At 41.7% G+C, this 18,284-nt stretch overlaps 1 protein-coding gene across 8 annotated transcripts in view, besides 2 other annotated features; it reads right to left on the bottom strand.

Annotated features, from left to right (window-relative positions):
• ATP8A2 (ATPase phospholipid transporting 8A2) overlaps positions 1–18,284 on the bottom strand; it is a 653,878-nt gene that overhangs the window by 10,857 nt on the left and 624,737 nt on the right. For all 8 annotated transcript variants that reach the window (NM_016529.6, NM_001411005.1, XM_047430383.1 and 5 more), the window contains one exon: positions 2,373–2,464. In NM_016529.6, the coding sequence (NP_057613.4) occupies positions 2,373–2,464 (92 nt within the window). The remainder of the gene's footprint in view (positions 1–2,372; positions 2,465–18,284) is intronic.
• Positions 2,134–2,634: an enhancer, noted in NCBI's record as "H3K4me1 hESC enhancer chr13:26586499-26586999 (GRCh37/hg19 assembly coordinates)". NCBI's record gives its function as "activates a minimal SCP1, AML or CMV promoter by ChIP-STARR-seq in primed H9 embryonic stem cells {active_cell/tissue: H9 hESC(primed)}" and the evidence as "EXISTENCE:reporter gene assay evidence [ECO:0000049][PMID:30033119]".
• Positions 2,635–3,135: an enhancer, noted in NCBI's record as "H3K4me1 hESC enhancer chr13:26585998-26586498 (GRCh37/hg19 assembly coordinates)". NCBI's record gives its function as "activates a minimal SCP1, AML or CMV promoter by ChIP-STARR-seq in primed H9 embryonic stem cells {active_cell/tissue: H9 hESC(primed)}" and the evidence as "EXISTENCE:reporter gene assay evidence [ECO:0000049][PMID:30033119]".

The raw sequence follows: 18,284 nt of genomic DNA, 5'->3' as shown, positions 1-18,284 counted from the left end.
TTCATCAGAGAGGCAACACGGCTCAACAGAACAGACCCTGTAGAGTTCTGGGAACCTGTATGTGTTTTCTCTGTGTCTGGCATACAGAAGGTGCTTTACACATGCTGTCATGAAGACTCACAGGACTGTGTAAGATGTATATCATTAAAATTCTTTTTTCTCCACAGGAGAAAATAAAAATTTAGAGAAATTAAGTTTCCCAAAATTATTCAGCTAATGGCAGAATAATAATACCCAACATTTATTGGACCCTATATTGCCTATATAGACACTTTATCTTTATGATCTCATTTAATCCTCCTAATTGAAACCAACCCAATAGTCCCATAGACAGTTTTGTTTTTGTTTTTTTGTTTTTTTAACATAGAAATGACCCTTCTGGTCTTAAAGCTTGACATTTGTATTTGTTTTATCTGAGTTCCTTCCTTAGGTAGGGACCCACAGGCCTCTCGAAAAGTAGCAAAGATCTGAAACTCACCCAATGATCTCATCCAGACAACGAGATGCTAAGCCCCTCATTCATCTTGATTGCTTCCTTACCCCTACTGATTCCTGTTTTCTTACACATTGTTAACATTTCTTCCCTGCTATATAAACCCCTAATTTTAGTCAGTCAAGGATATGGATTTAAGACTAATCTGCCACCTCCTTGGCTATAGCACCAGATAAAGCCTTCTTCCTTGGCTATAATTGTTGTTTCAGTGATTGGCTTTCTGTGCAGCTGTGGGTGGCAGGACCTACACTGAACCTCTGGCATCCAGTAAGTTCTCATATTACCCAACTTTACAGATGCAGAAGCAGACATTAAGTAACATGCCCAAGGTCACGAAAAAGCAGGGGAGCAGGGACAGGAACCCAGGCAGCCCATCTCCAGAGGGCTGCCCTACAGTTAGCACTCCTGTCCCATCAAACTTCTTGACTTACCTCTCTTTTGGGCCAGAGTCTGAGGCTGCAATCCAGACCTCATGGCATGCCACTGAGCAATGCTGGGCCACCCACTTTCTGACCTGAGCCTCTGCTTTGTGTCCTTGGGGTGGCATTACCCACCTCCCAGGGCAGTGGAGCATTAAAGGACAGAAGCATGTCAGTCCCCTTCTTCCCATACGATATTCCACATGGGAAAGTGAGGACAGGGGGTAGATTACTGAAAAGCAATGATACTCTGTCTCCCTCCTTCTCTCTCCATTGAGAAAGTCTGCAAATACCTGTTGACAGGCAGAGCTCAACAGAACACAGATCCTTCACTGCCTGTACTGTGTGAACAATGATTCTTCACGTTCATAAATCTGTCTCTTTCTTTCTTTCTTTTTTTTTTTTTTTGAGACCAAGTTTCGCTCTTGTTGCCCAGGCTGGAGTGCAATGGCATGACCTCGGCTCGCTGCAACCTCCGCTTCCTAGGTTCAAGTGATTCTCCTGCCTCAGCCTCCCAAGTAGCTGGGATTACAGGCATGTGCCGTCACGCCCAGCTAATTTTGTATTTTTAGTAGAGACGAGGTTTCACCATGTCGGTCAGGCTGGTCTCCAACCCCTGACCTCAAGTGATCCACTCACCTCAGCCTCCGAAAGTTCTAGGATTACAGGCGTGAGCCACCGCGTCCGGCCCAACTCATCTCTTTCTACCAGTCGTTTCCCTCTAAACTCCTCCGGAAGGGAAAGGGAGGCAGGGAGTAAGTATGGGAGGAAAAGCTGGCGTGTGCACGTGATGGGGGTGGAGAGGGGGCTGGGGAAGGCCGCAGGACACAGAGAGGCAGGGCTGGGTTGGCCTTGGCCCTGGGGAAGGTGGCCTGGATCTGCCTCAGCTGGGATCTGATGACTGGATTGCTAAAAACAAGCCCATGAGCTCCCCCTGAGCTCCAAAGTCGGGGGCAGTGGAGAGGGGATGTTTCACAGCCTCCCACTCTCCTCTGGAATCTGGAGGTGGGGGCGGGGGTGGCAGGGGGACGCCAGGCTTAGACGTGGGGCAGCCTTCCTGGGAGAAGCATGATGTTTTTCCCCAATGATGGTCATTGTTTCAATCAATATGGCAACACTACACAAAACAGTTCATATTGCTATCTTTAGGGGCAACAGTTTAAAAGTCATACTGCTTCAACCTTAAAAAACTCCTCTTGGGAGGCTGACGGAAGGATCATAACCACACCAGGATTTTAAGTTTACGGATTTTGTGGTCCCAGGGAATTGCCTACACTCAAGCTGCACGTTCCTGGGGCCAAATACACATTTTGCAGTTCCACTTCCAAACGCACGCCCCGCCCCCACCCCCCGTCAGCACTCACCCGGCCCCCCATCAGCGCCCGCTCCCCCAACTCCTCATCAACCCCCGCCCCGCACCGACACCCACTCCTCCATCAGCCCCCGCCCGCGGTACTCACGCGGGACGCCCTGCTGCAGGGAGCTGCCCCGGAACAGCGTCGGGGGCGTCTTCCGGCCCAGCCTCTTGATCAGGCGGTCGCGCTCGTTCAGCCTGCGGATAAAGCAAGCGCGTCAGTCTCTTGTCACCTGAACACTCGGGTTGCACAAGGAGACAGACAGAAGGGGGTGGGATGAGGTGGGGGATCACCTCCCCACGTCGGGTAAGGCGTGGTGCTTCACCAGCGGCCCGTGATTTCCAGCAGATGCCATCTGGGCGCCTCAATGCTGGCTCCCTGTTGTGGAAAACGCCGTTTCCAGTCCCTCCCTTAGCCAGCGCTTCCTGCTCGCTGAAGTGTGCATGTGCCCGGTCCATACCCGCGGGACCGTGGGCTTTTCAGGACACTTCTCCAAGGAGAGGCCTGTTTCCGGGTAAACATCTCCGCGCCTCACTCCTGCCTGCAGCCCCCTGCCTGCACGGGGTGAGAGCCCCGCGGAGGCCTCAGGACCCCAGCCACAGCCCAGCTTCGTTCTGCAGAACTTGATTATTTTGAACCCCAATGAACATCAAGGCGAGTTTTCTTCTAAAACAGACGGCTAAGGAGCAGTCCCTGCCTTTCCTGAACCTATTCCCTTCAAGGTTGCCACTGCTGTGAAGACATGTGGAACTGTTCTGGAGCTTGGCTATTTCTATACTATTTTATTTTTTTAAAAAGATGGGGTCTCACTGTCGTCCAGACTGGAGTGCAGTGGCACAATCATAGCTCACTGCAGCCTCGAACTCCTGGGCTCAAGCAACTCTCCCACCTCAGCCTCCTGAGTAGCTGGGACCCCAGGTGTGCATCACCACACCTGGCTAATTTTAAACATTTTTTGCAGAGACAGGGCCTTGCTTTGCTGCCCAAGCTGGTCTCAAACTCCTGGCTTCAAGTGATCCTCCTGCCTCGGCCTCCCAAAGTGCTAGGATTACAGGTGTGAGCCACCATGCCCAGTCTGTTTATTTCTATAAGCCCAAAGGGACTGCTTGAAAACTGCCCAGGCAGGTCAAAGTGCTTTGATTTTTACTATCAGGCTCTCATTTCGCTTGTCATTACAGGAGTTTGCCAGTGACCTAGAGGCATAATAGATTATGGGCTGAATGGTGTCCCCTCTAAATTCACATGTTGAAGTCTTTACCCCTAGTACCTCAGAATGGGACTGTATTTGGAAACAGGGCCTTTAAAGTGGTAATTAAGGTGAAATGAGGTCATCAGGGTGGGCCCTAATCCAGCATGGCTGCTGTCCTAATAAGAAGAGGAGATGAGGACACAGGCATACACGGAGGGAAGACCACAGAGCACACAGCCACCTGTAAGCCAAGGAGAGTGCTCGCATGAGAAACCAATCTGTAAGTAGCTCGAGTATGGACTTCCAGCCTCCAGACTGTGACAAACTCAATTTCTGCTGTTTAAGCCACACAGCCTATGGCACTTTATTGCGGCAGCCCAGGCAGACAAATACAGACCCCCCTTACGTTTGTGGGAACGTGAGGGGATACGGAGTTGTAGAAGAAGCTGCAGGTGCTTGAATCCCATGTACCCTGCCCCCGATCGATCAGTGAGCCTGGAGCCTGAGGAGGCCCCTCCCATGACTGCAGACCCACCTAGCTCCCTCAGGGCCATCGAAAGAGGAGTGGGGCCCTGGCTCTTCTTCACAGTTCTTTGAGCTGAAGTTCATTTTGAATTTCCAGGAGAGGGCATTTCTGAGTGCCTTGGTTGAAATAACAATGTTTAATTCATTCCCAATTAAGGGTGAGCCTCAGCTAGCTAAGCTTGGCAAAACGTCTCATGGCTGAGGAAGAAAAATACTTTCTCCATCCTTTCACACTGGTCCTCCCTCCCGTCTCCTCTTTCTTCCATGGGCCAAATTAATCTCACCGGGTCTGGCTGAGCAATTGCCCTGGAAGGCATGGTTGTGCAAACACAGGAGGAGTGAGCCCGTGGCACCTGTCCCTCTGTGTAGCTGCCATCACCGACTGTCCACAGCTCCCTGTGCTGCCTGGTTTCAGAATGTGGCAGGTATAAAGAAGGGCCTGTCCTCCCTGTCCAACACGTGCCCAGCACTGGCCATGACTCCTGCACAAAATAAAGGGCACTGTGTGCAGAGGGGGCCCCTCACCCTGCCTGGCCCCAGGGTAGCCTCACCAGCCAGGCCCCACATGGGGACATAATGGGCAACTGACACATTATTTTCTCAGAAGCTGGAGACCATGCAGGACTAGGCTCTGCCCCCATGCCCCTGGACCACAGGGACATGCCTCCTGAACCACCCTGGCCATCCCAGAAGCTCCTCCTCATGATGGGGCTTATGAGAATGTCACAGATCCTCAGAAATGGGAGGGATCATTGAAATTATACATGTTGGCCTCTCACCAGGCAGGTGAGAAAACAGACTCAGCTGTGTCAAATAACTTGACAAAGGTCAGATGGGGCTTTGCTGGCAGGGCTCCTGTGCTGGCAGACGCCGCCTAGATGCCGCCTAGAGTGGTGAATGCTTTTCTCTGTCTTCTTTTTTTATAATTAATTTTTTTCTTTTTGTTTTTGAGACAGAGTCTTGCTTGTTGCCCAGGCTGGAGTGCAGTGGCGCAATCTCGGCTCACTGCAGCCTCTGCCTACTAGGTTCAAGCGATTCTCCTGCCTCAGCCTCCTGAGTAGCTGGGATTACAGGCACTTGCCACCAGGCCTGGCTAATTTTTGTATTTTTAGTAGCGATGGGGTTTTGCCATGTTGGCCAGACTGGTCTTGAACTCCTGACCTCAGGTGATCCGCCCACTTCAGCCTCCGAAAGTGCTGGCATTACAGGCATGAGCCACTGTGCTCAGCCTATAATGAGATATTATTTAAAAATGTGACTTCTTGCTTCAGAGGGACCCACTCTGTGCCGCAGCCCTTCCTCCACACACTGTGAGGGGTCCACAGCCAAGGAGGTACACCCTCCCATGGCCCAGGCCTGCCATCCACCACCTCAGTTATTTGGGACCCTAGAAGTCCCTGCTCAATGACCACCCAGGCCTCCATCCAAGGCTAACTTGACTCCATCCTGAGCTCCATCCCCCTAAAAGTAGACCATATAGCCAATGTGCACACCCCAGGTCTGTGGGGGTGGCCAAGGGGTGCTTTTTGCATGGGGATGTGAACAGAACCTGGATGTGTGGGCTGGGATGTTCACCACACCACACGTGCGCAGATGCCCTCAGTGCAGGGCAGAGCTGGGGTTCTGAAGCATGGAGAGGGTGTCCAGGGAGTGAGCTCTTTCCCACGCTGCCTTACTCTGGCTAAGGCCTTCAAATAAGCCAGGAATCAGGAAGCGCACCAGGCTTTATGAAGGTGTCATCATGAAGGGACAGAATTCTTTGCTAGCTTGATTTGTAACTTTCACATATTTATGTGTGGTTCAAGGTCTCCACTGGTACTCTTATACCAAGTCCTGCAAATGTCAGGACCAGGCCTAACTATGATTACTTCAGATTTTAATAAAATAATAAAGTCTTAAATATAAATTCCTTATACTCGCCATTCTTCTCCCTTCCATAAAAAAGAAACAGCTTTCCAGTCTATATTTCATACTGTTGCTTCATAGATATGTATGGGTAATTAATATCCAATTATATTTAAAAATACGCATAAATGGTGTCATTTATTTTATGCTTCCTGTTTATCATGTTTTTTGCTTTTATTTTTTGGTTTAGAGGAATACTTTATTATTTATTTCAGTGGTCACCCTTACATTTCTAGCCTTCATATTTGACAAGGTCAAAAGTTAGAAAATAATTTAACCCCCTTCTTCAATAATGCAAACACTTCAGAACACACAACTCTGATTTTTCCATCTCTTCTTGTCTTCAGCACTGAAGGCTACTCAGTTTGCCATTTTTTGCAGGGAATCTGTCTTTTCCTTCTGGTTGCTTTTACAATAATTCCCTTTGTCTTTGATGGGCTGTAGTTTCATGACAATATTTAGTATGACTGGTTATAGGTTTGTTTTTATATCCTGTTCAGCTGCTCAGGTCTGGAAAGCTACAACAGCTTGAATGTTTGTGGATCTTCACTTACAGAAAACACTGAGATTCCTGCCTCCCCTCCGTTCTCTATTTTACCTTCTCCTGGAGCTTCTATCTACAGTATCTCCATATTGATCTCATTCTATCTTCCACATCCCTCAATCTCTCCCATGTTTTTCATTCCCCTTCTCCCTTCAGCTTTATCTAAACTACTTTAAAATTTTCTAATATGTTTTAATTTAAATCACTGGACTTTTCATGTCTATATGTTTTATTTTTCTTCCAAATCCACCTGTTCTTACATACTACCCTTCTCTTGCTTTTTGATATCTGTATCTTCTTTCATCACTATTTTATAGAATCTTTCAGACTTTCCTTGCAATTCCAGCTAGTGGGAAGCTAATTTTCCTATCCTTAGTACAGAAGGACTCTCTACTTCATTGTGGTTCATTTCCTGTGTGTGCTCTAGTTCTTCAGAATGAGTTTTCTTTTGCCTCTGCTAGGGCCCTGTGGGTTACATCAATTTGTATATTAATATATTAGCATGTAGCATTGGGAAGCCTGAAATTGGACCTCTCATATAAGCATGGGCTTCCAGTTTCTAGTGGGTAATTCTTTCTTTCATCTATTTCCCTGGGCACACAGGATGACTCATTGCTTCTCTGTCAATCTAAGGAGAAAAATTTTTCTAGTTTCTGTTTCACTAAAATGGCATCCCTACAAAATTTGCAACTTTATGCATAGGGTTCTGTTATATCTCACATGGGACTAAGCTGTTCTCTCCCTGCATTAACCCATGAAACCTCTGCCTCTGAGCCCTTTGCATGGTCTGATACTCCCATGCAGCCTCCTTGGCTTCACCTCCTCTAACCCTGCTGGCTTTGATGCCTCTGTTTTTGGTATCTGGATTTATTTCTCGTTCTTTTGAGCTTAGTTATGTTTTGAGAGCCTGCCTTTGTTTATATTTCACCTAACATGTATGTGTGTTTGGAAGGATCTTTTCTGAGTTAGCTCAGTCCATCATATTGACTCCACCTGGTTTCTATAAATAATCTGTTATTTCACTGAACCAACTACTGGAAAACACCATGTCTACAGAACAAGATCACAGAACTATTCTTTGCAGAGTCTTGCTATCCTTAGGAACAACCTTTTCTGAAACTTTTAAAACAGCAAAGGATATGACAAAGCTTTAGAGGTCATAAAACAGGAACCAGAGCTTATAAAAACACTCTACTGGAGGTGTAGGAAGCACTGATTTCTCCATGCACTCCAATGTTGAAATGTCAAGGAACATTATTTTTCCAATTTACCCTTCTCTTCTTTGGAGGAAAGGAGACCATTGTGAATAGTTGTAACTAAAATTTCTCATGAACAATAATGTTGGAAAAGCTCAAGATTGAAATGGGTAAGAAAGGATAACATTTACCATTTACAATATTATATCATCTATATATGGTTTGGAAGCTATCTGTTCACAAAAACAAAGTAAAAAAGGTGAACAAAACACAACAAAATATTTACTTTGGTTAATTCTGAAATAATGAGAAGAAAAGAGGAGTACAGATTGGCACAGAAAAAGCAATTTAGATCTATGTTTTCCTTTTTTTTTTTTAAAGAGAGAATCTCTTTAAAATACTAAATTCTAGCAAACTAAATTCAGTATATGAATACTAAATTAACAAAATACTAGCAAACTAAGTTTAGTATATTTAAAAAATTATATACTATGACCAAATGAGATTTATCCCTGGAATGCAAGGGTGGTTCAACATATAAAAATCAAGCAATATAATATACCGCATTAATAGAATGTAGGAAAAAATATCACATGATCATTTCAATTGATGCAGAAAAAGCACCTGACAAAATTCAGTACTCTTTCATGATATTTTTATTGTGGAAAATGCTAAAGATATAAGGGAAATTCCTTATCATGAAAAGAGCATTAATTTAAAAAAACCCAAAGTTAACATCATACTTAATGGTAAAAGACTGAAAGCCATCTTTCCATGTTCAAGAAGAAGACAAGGATGCCAACTTTCAGCACTTCTATTCAACAAACTTACTGAAGTTCTAACCAAAGCAGTTTGGCAAGAAAAAGAAATAAAATACATCCAAATATGAAAGAAAGAAGTAAAACTATCTCTATTTGTACATGACATGATCTTATATGATGAAGAATATACACAAACACACATATTCAAATTACGGGAGTTAATAAACTCAGTAAAGTTGCAGGATACCAGGTGAACCAATAAAAATCAGTAGTATACAAATATAATAGCAATGTACAATCTGATAAGAAAATTAAGAAAACAATCCAATTTATAATCAAAAGGAATAAAATACTCGGGAATAATTTTAACCAAAGAGGTGCCACACTCATACATAAAAAAACTATAAAACACTTCTGAAAACATTAAAGACATCCCAAATAAATTGAAAAATACCCTGTGTTCACAGATTGAAAGATGATACTGTTAAGATAGCAATACTAGTCAAAGTGTTTTACAGATTCAGTGTAACTCCTATCAAAATCCCAATGGTTTTTTTTGTTTGTTTGTTTGCAAAGATAGAAAAGCTGATCTTAAGATTCACATGGAATTATAAGGGACCCAAAATAACCAAAATAATGTTGAAAAAAGAACAAAGTCATAGAACTCACACATACCTATTTCAAAACTTATTACTAAACTACAGTAATAAAAATAGCATGGTACTGACATAGACTTACAAATCAAGAGAATATAATTGAGAGTCCAGAAATAAACCCATACATCAATGGTCACTTAATTTTTGACATGGATGTGAAGACCATTCAATAATAAAAGAATAATCTCTCCAGCAAATGGTGCTGGGACAACTAGATTTCTACATGCCAAACAATGGAATTGGGCCCTTCCCACCACATACAAAAATTAACTTAAAATGGATCAAAGATATAAATATATTTGAAACAAATGAAAATGGAAACACAGCATATCTAAATTTATGGGTTGCAGCAAAAGCAATCTTAAGAAGGGAACTTATAGAAATAAATGTCTATATCAAAAGAGAAGAAATAAACAACCTAATGTTACACTTTGAGGAACTACAAAAGGAAGAACAAACTAAGCCTAAAGTTGGCAGAAGGAAGGAAACAAAAAAGACCAGAGCAGAAATAAATGAAACAGAGACTACAAAAACAATGGAAAAATATCAGTGAAACTAAAAGTTGTTTTTTTCCAAAGATAAGATCTACAAACTCCTAGCTAGACTGACTAGGAAAAAAAGGAGAGACGCAAATAAAGTGAGAATTGAAAGTTGAGACACTATAACAGATACCACAGAAACATAAAGGGTCATTAGATATTACTACAAACAATCATATGGCAACAAATTGGATAATCTAGAAGAAATGTTAAGTTCCTAGACACTTACAACCTATCACAACTGACCAATAACAAGGAAGGAGATTGGATCTCTAGTAAAAAATCTCCCATCAAAGAAAAGGCCAAGACCTGATGGCTGCTCTTCTGAATTCTACCAAACACTTAAAGAACTAATACCAATTCTCAAACTTTTCCAAAATACTGAAGTGGAAGGGATACTTCCAAACCCATTTTACAAAGTCAGCATTACCCTGATACCAAAGCCAGACAAGGAATCACAAGAAAAAAAATTACAGGCTAATATCCCTGATGACTATATATACAAAAATCCTCAACAAAATATTAGCAAACTGAACTTAACAACACATTGAAAGAATCATTCACCATGGTCATGTGGGATTTGTGCCTGGGATACAAGGATGGTTCAATATACACAAATCTATAAACACTACATTAACAAAATGAAATATAAAAACCATATGATCATCTCAATAGATGCAGAAAAGCCAATCAACACCTCTTCATGATAAAACTCAACAGATTAGTTATAGAGGGAATATATCTCAACACAATAAAGGATATATGACAAACCCATAGCTAACATCATACTCAATGGTGAGAAGTTGAAAGCTTTTCCTCTAAGGTTAGAAACAAGACAAGGATGCCCACTCTTGCCAATTCTTTTCAACATAGAACTGAAAGTCCCAGCCAGAGCCATTAGGCAAGAGGGTAATATAAGGTATCCTGATAGGAAAGAAAAAAGCAAAATTATCTCTGTTTGTTGGTACACATAATGCTATGTATAGAAAATCCTAAAGACTCCACCAAAAAACTGTTTAGAACTAGTAAATTTAGTAAGGTTGCAGGATACAAGATCAACATACAGAAATGAGTAGTGTTTTTATATATTAATAATGAACTATCCAAAAATGAAATTAAGAAAGCAATTCCATTTACAAGCACAACAACAACACAAAATACTTAAGTGTAAATTTAATCAAGGGGTAAAAGACTATATAGAGAAAACTACAAAACACTGATGAAATAATTGCAGAAAATACAAGTAAATGGGATGCTATGCTCATGAACTGTAAAACAACACTATTGTTAAAATAATCATACTACACAAAGTGATCTACAGATTCAATGCAATCCCTATCAAAATGGCAATGTCATTTTTCACAGAAAGAGAAAAAGATAATCCTTAAGATTATATGGAACCACAAAAGACCCTCAATAGCCAAAACAATCTTGAGCACTAAGAAAAAGGCTGAAGGCATCACACTCCCTGTGTTCAAAATATGTTATAAAGCTATTGCAAATAAAATGGCATGGTACTGGCATAAAAACAGATGCATTGACCAACGGAACAGGCTAGACTGCCAGAAATAAACCCGTACATTTATGGTCAACTGATTTTCAACAAAGGTGCTAATAACACACAATGAAGAAAAAGCAGCATCTTTAATAAATGGTGGTGGCAAACTGGATATTCACATGCAGAAGAATGAAACTTGACCCTTATCTCACACCATATACAAAAACAACTCAAAATGAATTAAAGACTTATATATACGAGTTGAAACTAAAACTGCTGGAGGAAGATAGGGGAAAGGTCTATGACACTGGTCTGGACAGTAATTTTTTGAATATAACTCTGAAAGCACAGGCAGCAAAAGCAAAAATAGACAAATGGGATGACATCAAACAATAGAGCTTCTGCACAGCAAAGGAAACAATCAACAGAGTGAAGAGACAACCTAAAGAGTGAGAGAAAATATTTGCAAGCTATACATCTGATAAGAGGTTAATATCCAAAATACACAAGGAACACAAACAATATCAAGAAAGCATAGCTCAATTAAAAAAAAAAACAAAGGACCTGAATAGACATTTCTTAAAAGACGATATACATATGACCAACAGGTATATGAAGAATGATCAAACAACTAACCATCAGAGAAAGGCCAGTTAAAATCACAATGAGATATTACCTCACATCTGTTAGAATGGTTATTATTAAAAAAAAAAAAAGAAAGCTAACAAGTATTGGTGAGAATGCAGAGAAAAAGGAACCCCTGTACACTGTTGATGGGAATACAAATTAGTATAGCTACTATGGAAAACAGTGGAAGTTCCTCCAAAAAATTAAAAATAGAACTATCATATGATCCAGCAATCTCACTTCTGGGTATATAATCCAAAGGAGTGGAAATCAGTATGCTGAAGGGATATCTGCACTCCTCTGTTCACTCCAGCATTATTCATAATAGCCATGATAGGAAATCAACCTAGGTGTCCATCAATGAATGAGTGGATGAAGAAACTGTGGTACATACACACACACACACACACACACACACACACACACACACACACACACAGTGGAATACTATTCAGCCTTAAAAAGGACATCCTATCGTTTGCTATAACATGGATAAACCAAGAGGACACTATGCTAAATGAAATAAACCGGGCACAGTAAGACAAGTGCTGCATGATCTCATTTATATATGGAATCTTAAAAAGTTGAACTCATAGAAGTAGAAAGTACAATGATGGTTACCAGAGGCTGGGGTTGAGAGTGGAGGAGTGAGGGAATGACGAGCTGTTGGTCAAAGGGTACAAAATTTCAATTAGACAAAAGGAGTGAGTTTTTTTTTTTTTTTTAATACTTTAAGTTCTAGGGTACATGTGCACAGCCTGCAGGTTTGTTACATATGTATACATGTGCCGTGTTGGTTTGCTGCACCCATTAACTTGTCATTTACATTAGGTATTTTTCCTGATGCTATCCCTCCCCCATCCCCCCACCCCACGACAGGCCCTGGTGTGTGATGTTCCCCCACCGTGTCCAAGTGTTCTCACTGTTCAGTTCCCACCTATGAGTGAGAACATGTGGTGTTTGGTTTTCTGTCCTTGTGATAGTTTTCTCAGAATGATGGTTTCCAGCTTCATCCATGTTGCTATGAAGGACATGAACTCATCAAAAGGAGTAAGTTTTAAGATCTATTGCACAACAGGGTAACTATAGTCAATAATAATGTGTTATATACTTCAGAATAACTAAGAGTAAATTTCAAATGTCTCATCACAAAAAATGATAAGTTGGTGAGGTGATGACAATGTTAATTAGCTTGATTTAATCATTTCACATTGTATAGCTGTATCAAAACATAACTTTGTACCCCAGAGGCTTATAAATTACAGTTTGTTAATTAATATTAATAAAAAGCATAAATATAAGAGCTAGAACAATATAAATCTTAGAGGAAAATACAGGGGCAAATCTTTATGACCTTGGCTTTGGCAATGGCCAAATGCAAGTAACAAAATAAAAGACAGATAAATGGGACTTCATGGAAATTAAAAACTTTTGTGCATCAAAGGTCATTATCAAGGAAATGAAAAGACAACTACAAAATGGGAGAAAATATTTGCAAATCATATCTGATAAAGGTCTAGTATCCAGAATATATAAAGAACACCTACAACTCAAAAGCAAAAAAACAAACAACTTGATTAAAAAATGGGCAAAGGACTTCAATAGACCCTTATTCAAAGAAAATACACAATAGCCAAAAAGCACATGAAGATAATCAGTATCATTAGTCATTAGGGAAATGCAAATCAAAACTACCATGAGATAGCACTTCACACATACTAGGATGGCTATTAAAAAAACCCCAAAACCAAAATAACTCAGAAAATAAGTGTTGGAGAGGATATGGAGAAACTGGAACTCTTGCACATTACTTGGTGAGATGTAAAATGGTGCAGCCACTGTTCCTTGGTAAGTTAGACACAGAATTATCTCATCACTCACCAATTCCATTCCTAAGAATATACCCAAATGAATGGAAAATGGACTCAGACAGATACCAGTACAATATCCCTAGCTGCGTTATTCACAAAAGCCAAAAGTAGAAACGACCCAAATGTCCACCAACTGACAAATGTGTAAGCAAATGTGGTCTATGCATACAATGGAGAATTATTCAGCCATATAAAGAAATATGGTACAGATGGATACATACTTCAGGGATAAAGACTGAAAATATTATGCTAAGTGAAAGAAGCCCAACCTCAAAGGCTGTGTATTACATGATTATATGAAATGTCCAAAATAGGCAAATATGTAAAGACTGAAAACAGGCTCGTGTTTGCCAGGGGCTGTAGGGCAGGGAGGTGGGGGAAAGGAAGTGGGAAGGACTGCGTCACACATATGGGGTTCCCTTTTGGGGAGATGAAAATATTCTGGAACTAGGTAGTGGTAATGGTTATACAACACTGTGACTCTACCAACTGCCATGTATGGCAAACTATAAAATAGTAAATGTTATGCTATGTGCATTTTATCACATTTTTTTGAGAAAGAAAATTGAATTAAAAAAAGGTGGATTGGGTGCCAAATCAAGGTCAGTTCCCTCCTATCACATGAGCTGTTGGTAATGATGCCATTTTTACAGTTTATTTTTCCCATGGTGGGGGGTATTGGCATTAAAGTACTTAATTTTTTTTTTTTTTTTTTTGGCTCTGTACTGGCAGAAGCAGGTATGCTAGCTGGGAACTATTGCTATGAAAGGTGTTGTGTAGACATTACTTCACCCAGAGATATGTGCAGTCTTAGTGCCTCCCCAGTAATGATGGTGAAACCCAAGCTCATACAAGTCCTTACAAAAGGCTCTTTTTAGAAGCTGACAAATCCTAGAGAAGGTGTTATGCTCCTGCCTCAAAAAATGATCAGTCTCAGGAAGAAGTGGAGAGCTGAGTTATGATGGAGAAAAATAAACTCTTGTGTCCACATTTCTGTTAGAAAGCTATTCCTGCAAAAATCACACATGCATAACTGCCAAAGAGCGGGAGTGTGGAGTACACAGCAAATAACTCCAAATCTGAATTTTAGATCTTGTCAATAGTTACAACTGACCGGAATCACAGCTGACACTACAACAAAGCCAAAAACAAGTAGGTAATTTTAGAAACTTATTTTTAAATTAGCTACTGGGCAGTCTGCAAAACACAGATGTGACAGGCCCTCAAGAAAAAAAGCTGGTCCCCAGTTCCCTGTCCTTCAGGGAAGGCCAAACATCTACCAATCCACCAGGCTGTTAACATTCTAACCTGCTTTATTAGAGAATGATATTTCATAGCCACAATTGGCAACTTATTTTACTCATTATCATTAGGAAATGAAAACCTTCGGGGCTCAAGTGTATTCCAGACCTACCTAGACCTTTGTTTTATCTAAAACTTTACCTTAGTTAAAGACACTTATGTAATGAAGGAAAATCACAAGAATAAAACAAAAACAAAATCGGTTTTCCAGCCTAAAACTTCAATAAGAGTTATATTTATTTTATATACCACGGAACTACGAGCCCTCCAGAAATTCCATTCTGTTAGATGGTAGTAGATGATTCTCCTTTCCCCTTTCTGCCAATCCATATGCATCTTCTTTTTAAAAACATGACCTCTTGACCTCCCATTAATTCAGCATTTGTACTGCGCCTACTGTGTGTGAGACCCAATGTTGGAAACAAAGTTACCCAAGACACAGCCTCTGCCCTCATGAACTCACAGTCTTTAAGGTGACCTCGCCGTGCAGACACTTACCATGCTATAAGGTGATGATGCCCTTACAGAGATTGTGCTAGGCTCAGGAGAGGTGACGTGGAGGAGTGAAGAACTTGGAGCAGGGCAGAGAGAATCAGCACTGAAGCTGGGTCCTGAACAATGGATGGCCCTTTGCTGACCATCCAGATGCAAACACAGGAGGAGAAAAAGGTTCAGCAGGAACAGCAATGAATCCAGTTTCAGATGTGGGGCCTGTGAGCGCCTCTGAGGTGTTCAGAAGACAGGGGACCAGAGAGAGGTCAAAGCTGAGATGCAACTTTGGACTCAGCTTGTAGAAACCCATGGAGAGCTGGTAGACTGAGAAGCAGCACTGTGCCTAGTGATCCCTGGAAAACACCAGCACACCATCTGTGTGTTCAACTAGAGGGTTCATTCAGCCGGAACCAAGTCTTACACTTTTTGTTATGTTTTTCACAGTACCTATCCTGGGCTGAAAACAGAGGACACGGTTCAATATGTAAAATTGCATGTGTGCTTTGTATTAACTGATTTGTGGTGCGACTCTCTTCTTATGTTGTGTCTCCACAACTCAATCCTTCACCATTTGTCTCGTGTCTATCCATAACGCCCAGCATTGAGCTCAGGACACAGTAGGTTTTCCAATAGTGGCCAAGGTAAATTCCTCTGTATTATTCTTTTAAAATGCCAGAATATGGACATTGTCCCTATTCTCTTCCAGAGAGAAAAGCTCACTCCAAATTCCAGAAGATATTGTGAGCAGTGTTTGTGGATTTATAGAGATGAAACATTGTAATTTTTTAAGAATTCAGGTTACATGGGACAGTTTGGGGGACATTCTGGCTGAAGACACCATAGGGTTCAAGGTTAACTAACCCTAATACAAATTCCGTTCCAAAAATAAACAACAGATTCCTCCAGTCCTCCCTGGACCCAACTTTCCTCTAATAATAAAAACTGGGCACTGGAGAGAAGAGAGGCTTGTAGCAGCACAGTGCTTGATTTCCTCTGTCCCAGACAAGGTTTTCCCAGTAGAGGCAGAGGACGATTCTGAATGTCCACAGGCATGAACAAAGAAGCCTACCTAGCAAATGCCTTTTCTCTCCAGACAAAGGAACAGGAAAGGGGCAGCCTAGCAAGACAGAAAACTTTCAGGCCTGAAGTACTCATCTGCAGCCAGATACCCCAGAGAAAAAGGTGGCCCCCTCACCCCCAACCCATGCCAGCAAAGACCTAGTGGTGCTCTTAGACTTCTTCCCTTAGGAGACTGTTATGAGGCTCTCCAACACCCTTATGGGGAGGTGAAAAAGAAGACCAAGCAGGGATCCTTGACTTTCATCCCTGCCAGCCAATAAGGACCCCTCCCTTCTGGGATGTCAGCAGAGATCACTTCGGATGACTAGACTTCCATCCCCAACCCAGTGAAATGTGAAGGCATCCTTTTCCCTCTTCACTGGGTGATGTCAGAAAAGGTCTTATGGAGAATCAGGACCCCTGCACCTGGAGAGCAGGAGCTCCCATCCCTACCCTGAAGACATAAACAGAGGCCATTAGTGAATCTGGATTACCTCTACCCGGCAGGAGCCAGGCTGCCATGAAATCCAGAGTCCATAGCATAATAGCCAAAATGTCCAGGTTTCATTTGAAAATCACTTATTTTACCATAAACCAGGAAGATCTCAAACAGGGAGAAAAATAAAAATGATCAATAGATGCTAACACCAAGACGTCAGAAACAGTGGAATTGTCTGACAAAGATTTTAAAGTAGCCATGGTAAAAATGTTTCAATAAGTAATTATGAACACACTTAAAAGAAAAAAAATAGAAAGCCGCAGCCAAGAAATATAAGACTTAAAAGAACAAATAGGAAATTTCAGAACGGAAAAATATAACAACTGAAATAAAAACCTCAGTGGATGGGCTCAACAGCAGAATGCAGGGGACAGAGGAAATCGTTAGTGAACTGAAAAATAGAACAGTAGAAATTACCCAGTCTGAGTAATAGAGACAAAATAGACTATAAAAATTAACAGAGCCTTGGGAGCCTGTAAGAATATAATAGAAGATCTAACATTCACGTCTTCAGAGTCTCAGAAAAAGAGGAGAAATACGGCAGGGCTAAAAGAGCACTCAGAAATAGTGGCTGAAAATGTCCCAATTTTGATGAACAATATAAACTTACAGAGCAATTCTAAAGAGGATAAACTCAAAGAAATCCACAACAAGACAGATTTTAATTACACTGCCAAAAACCAACGACAAAGATTCCAAAGGCAGCCAAAGAGAAATGACACCAATAGAGGAAAACCACGTAGGTTGACAGTGGATTTCTCATCAGAAACCACTGAGGCCAGAGCAACTGGCACAACATTTTTCAGGTGCTGAAAGAACAGAACTGTCAACCCAGTGAAAATATCTTTCAGGAATGAAAAAGAAATCTCTTGAATGGAAGGAAAACTAAGAAAATTTGTCACCACCAGAACGATCTTACAGGAATAGCTAAAGAAAGTCCTATAAGGTGGGGGCACGGTGGCTCACACCTGTAATCCCAGCACTTTGGGAGGCCAAGGCAGGAGGATCACTTGAGGTCAGGAGTTCAAGAACAGTCTGGCCAACATGGTGAAACCCTGTCTCTACTAAAAATACAAAGATGGGCTGGGCATGGTGGCTCACGCCTGTAATCCCAGCATTTTGGGAGGCCGAGGTGGGAGGATCATCTGAGGTCAGGAGTTCGAGACCAGCCTGGCTAATGTGGTGAAACCTTGTCTCTACTAAAAATACAAAAATTAGCCAGGTGTGTTGGCAGGTGCCTATAATCCCAGCTACTTGGGAGGCTGAGGCAGAAGAAATGCTTGAACCCAGGAGGTAGAGGTTGCGGTGAGCTGAGATTGTGCCACTGCACTCCAGCCTGGGCAACAGAGTGAGA

This window comes from Homo sapiens, chromosome 13 (assembly GCF_000001405.40).
Source record: "Homo sapiens chromosome 13, GRCh38.p14 Primary Assembly".
NCBI classification, from domain to species: Eukaryota; Metazoa; Chordata; class Mammalia; order Primates; family Hominidae; genus Homo; species Homo sapiens.
This window is presented reverse-complemented; position numbering and strand designations above follow the sequence as displayed.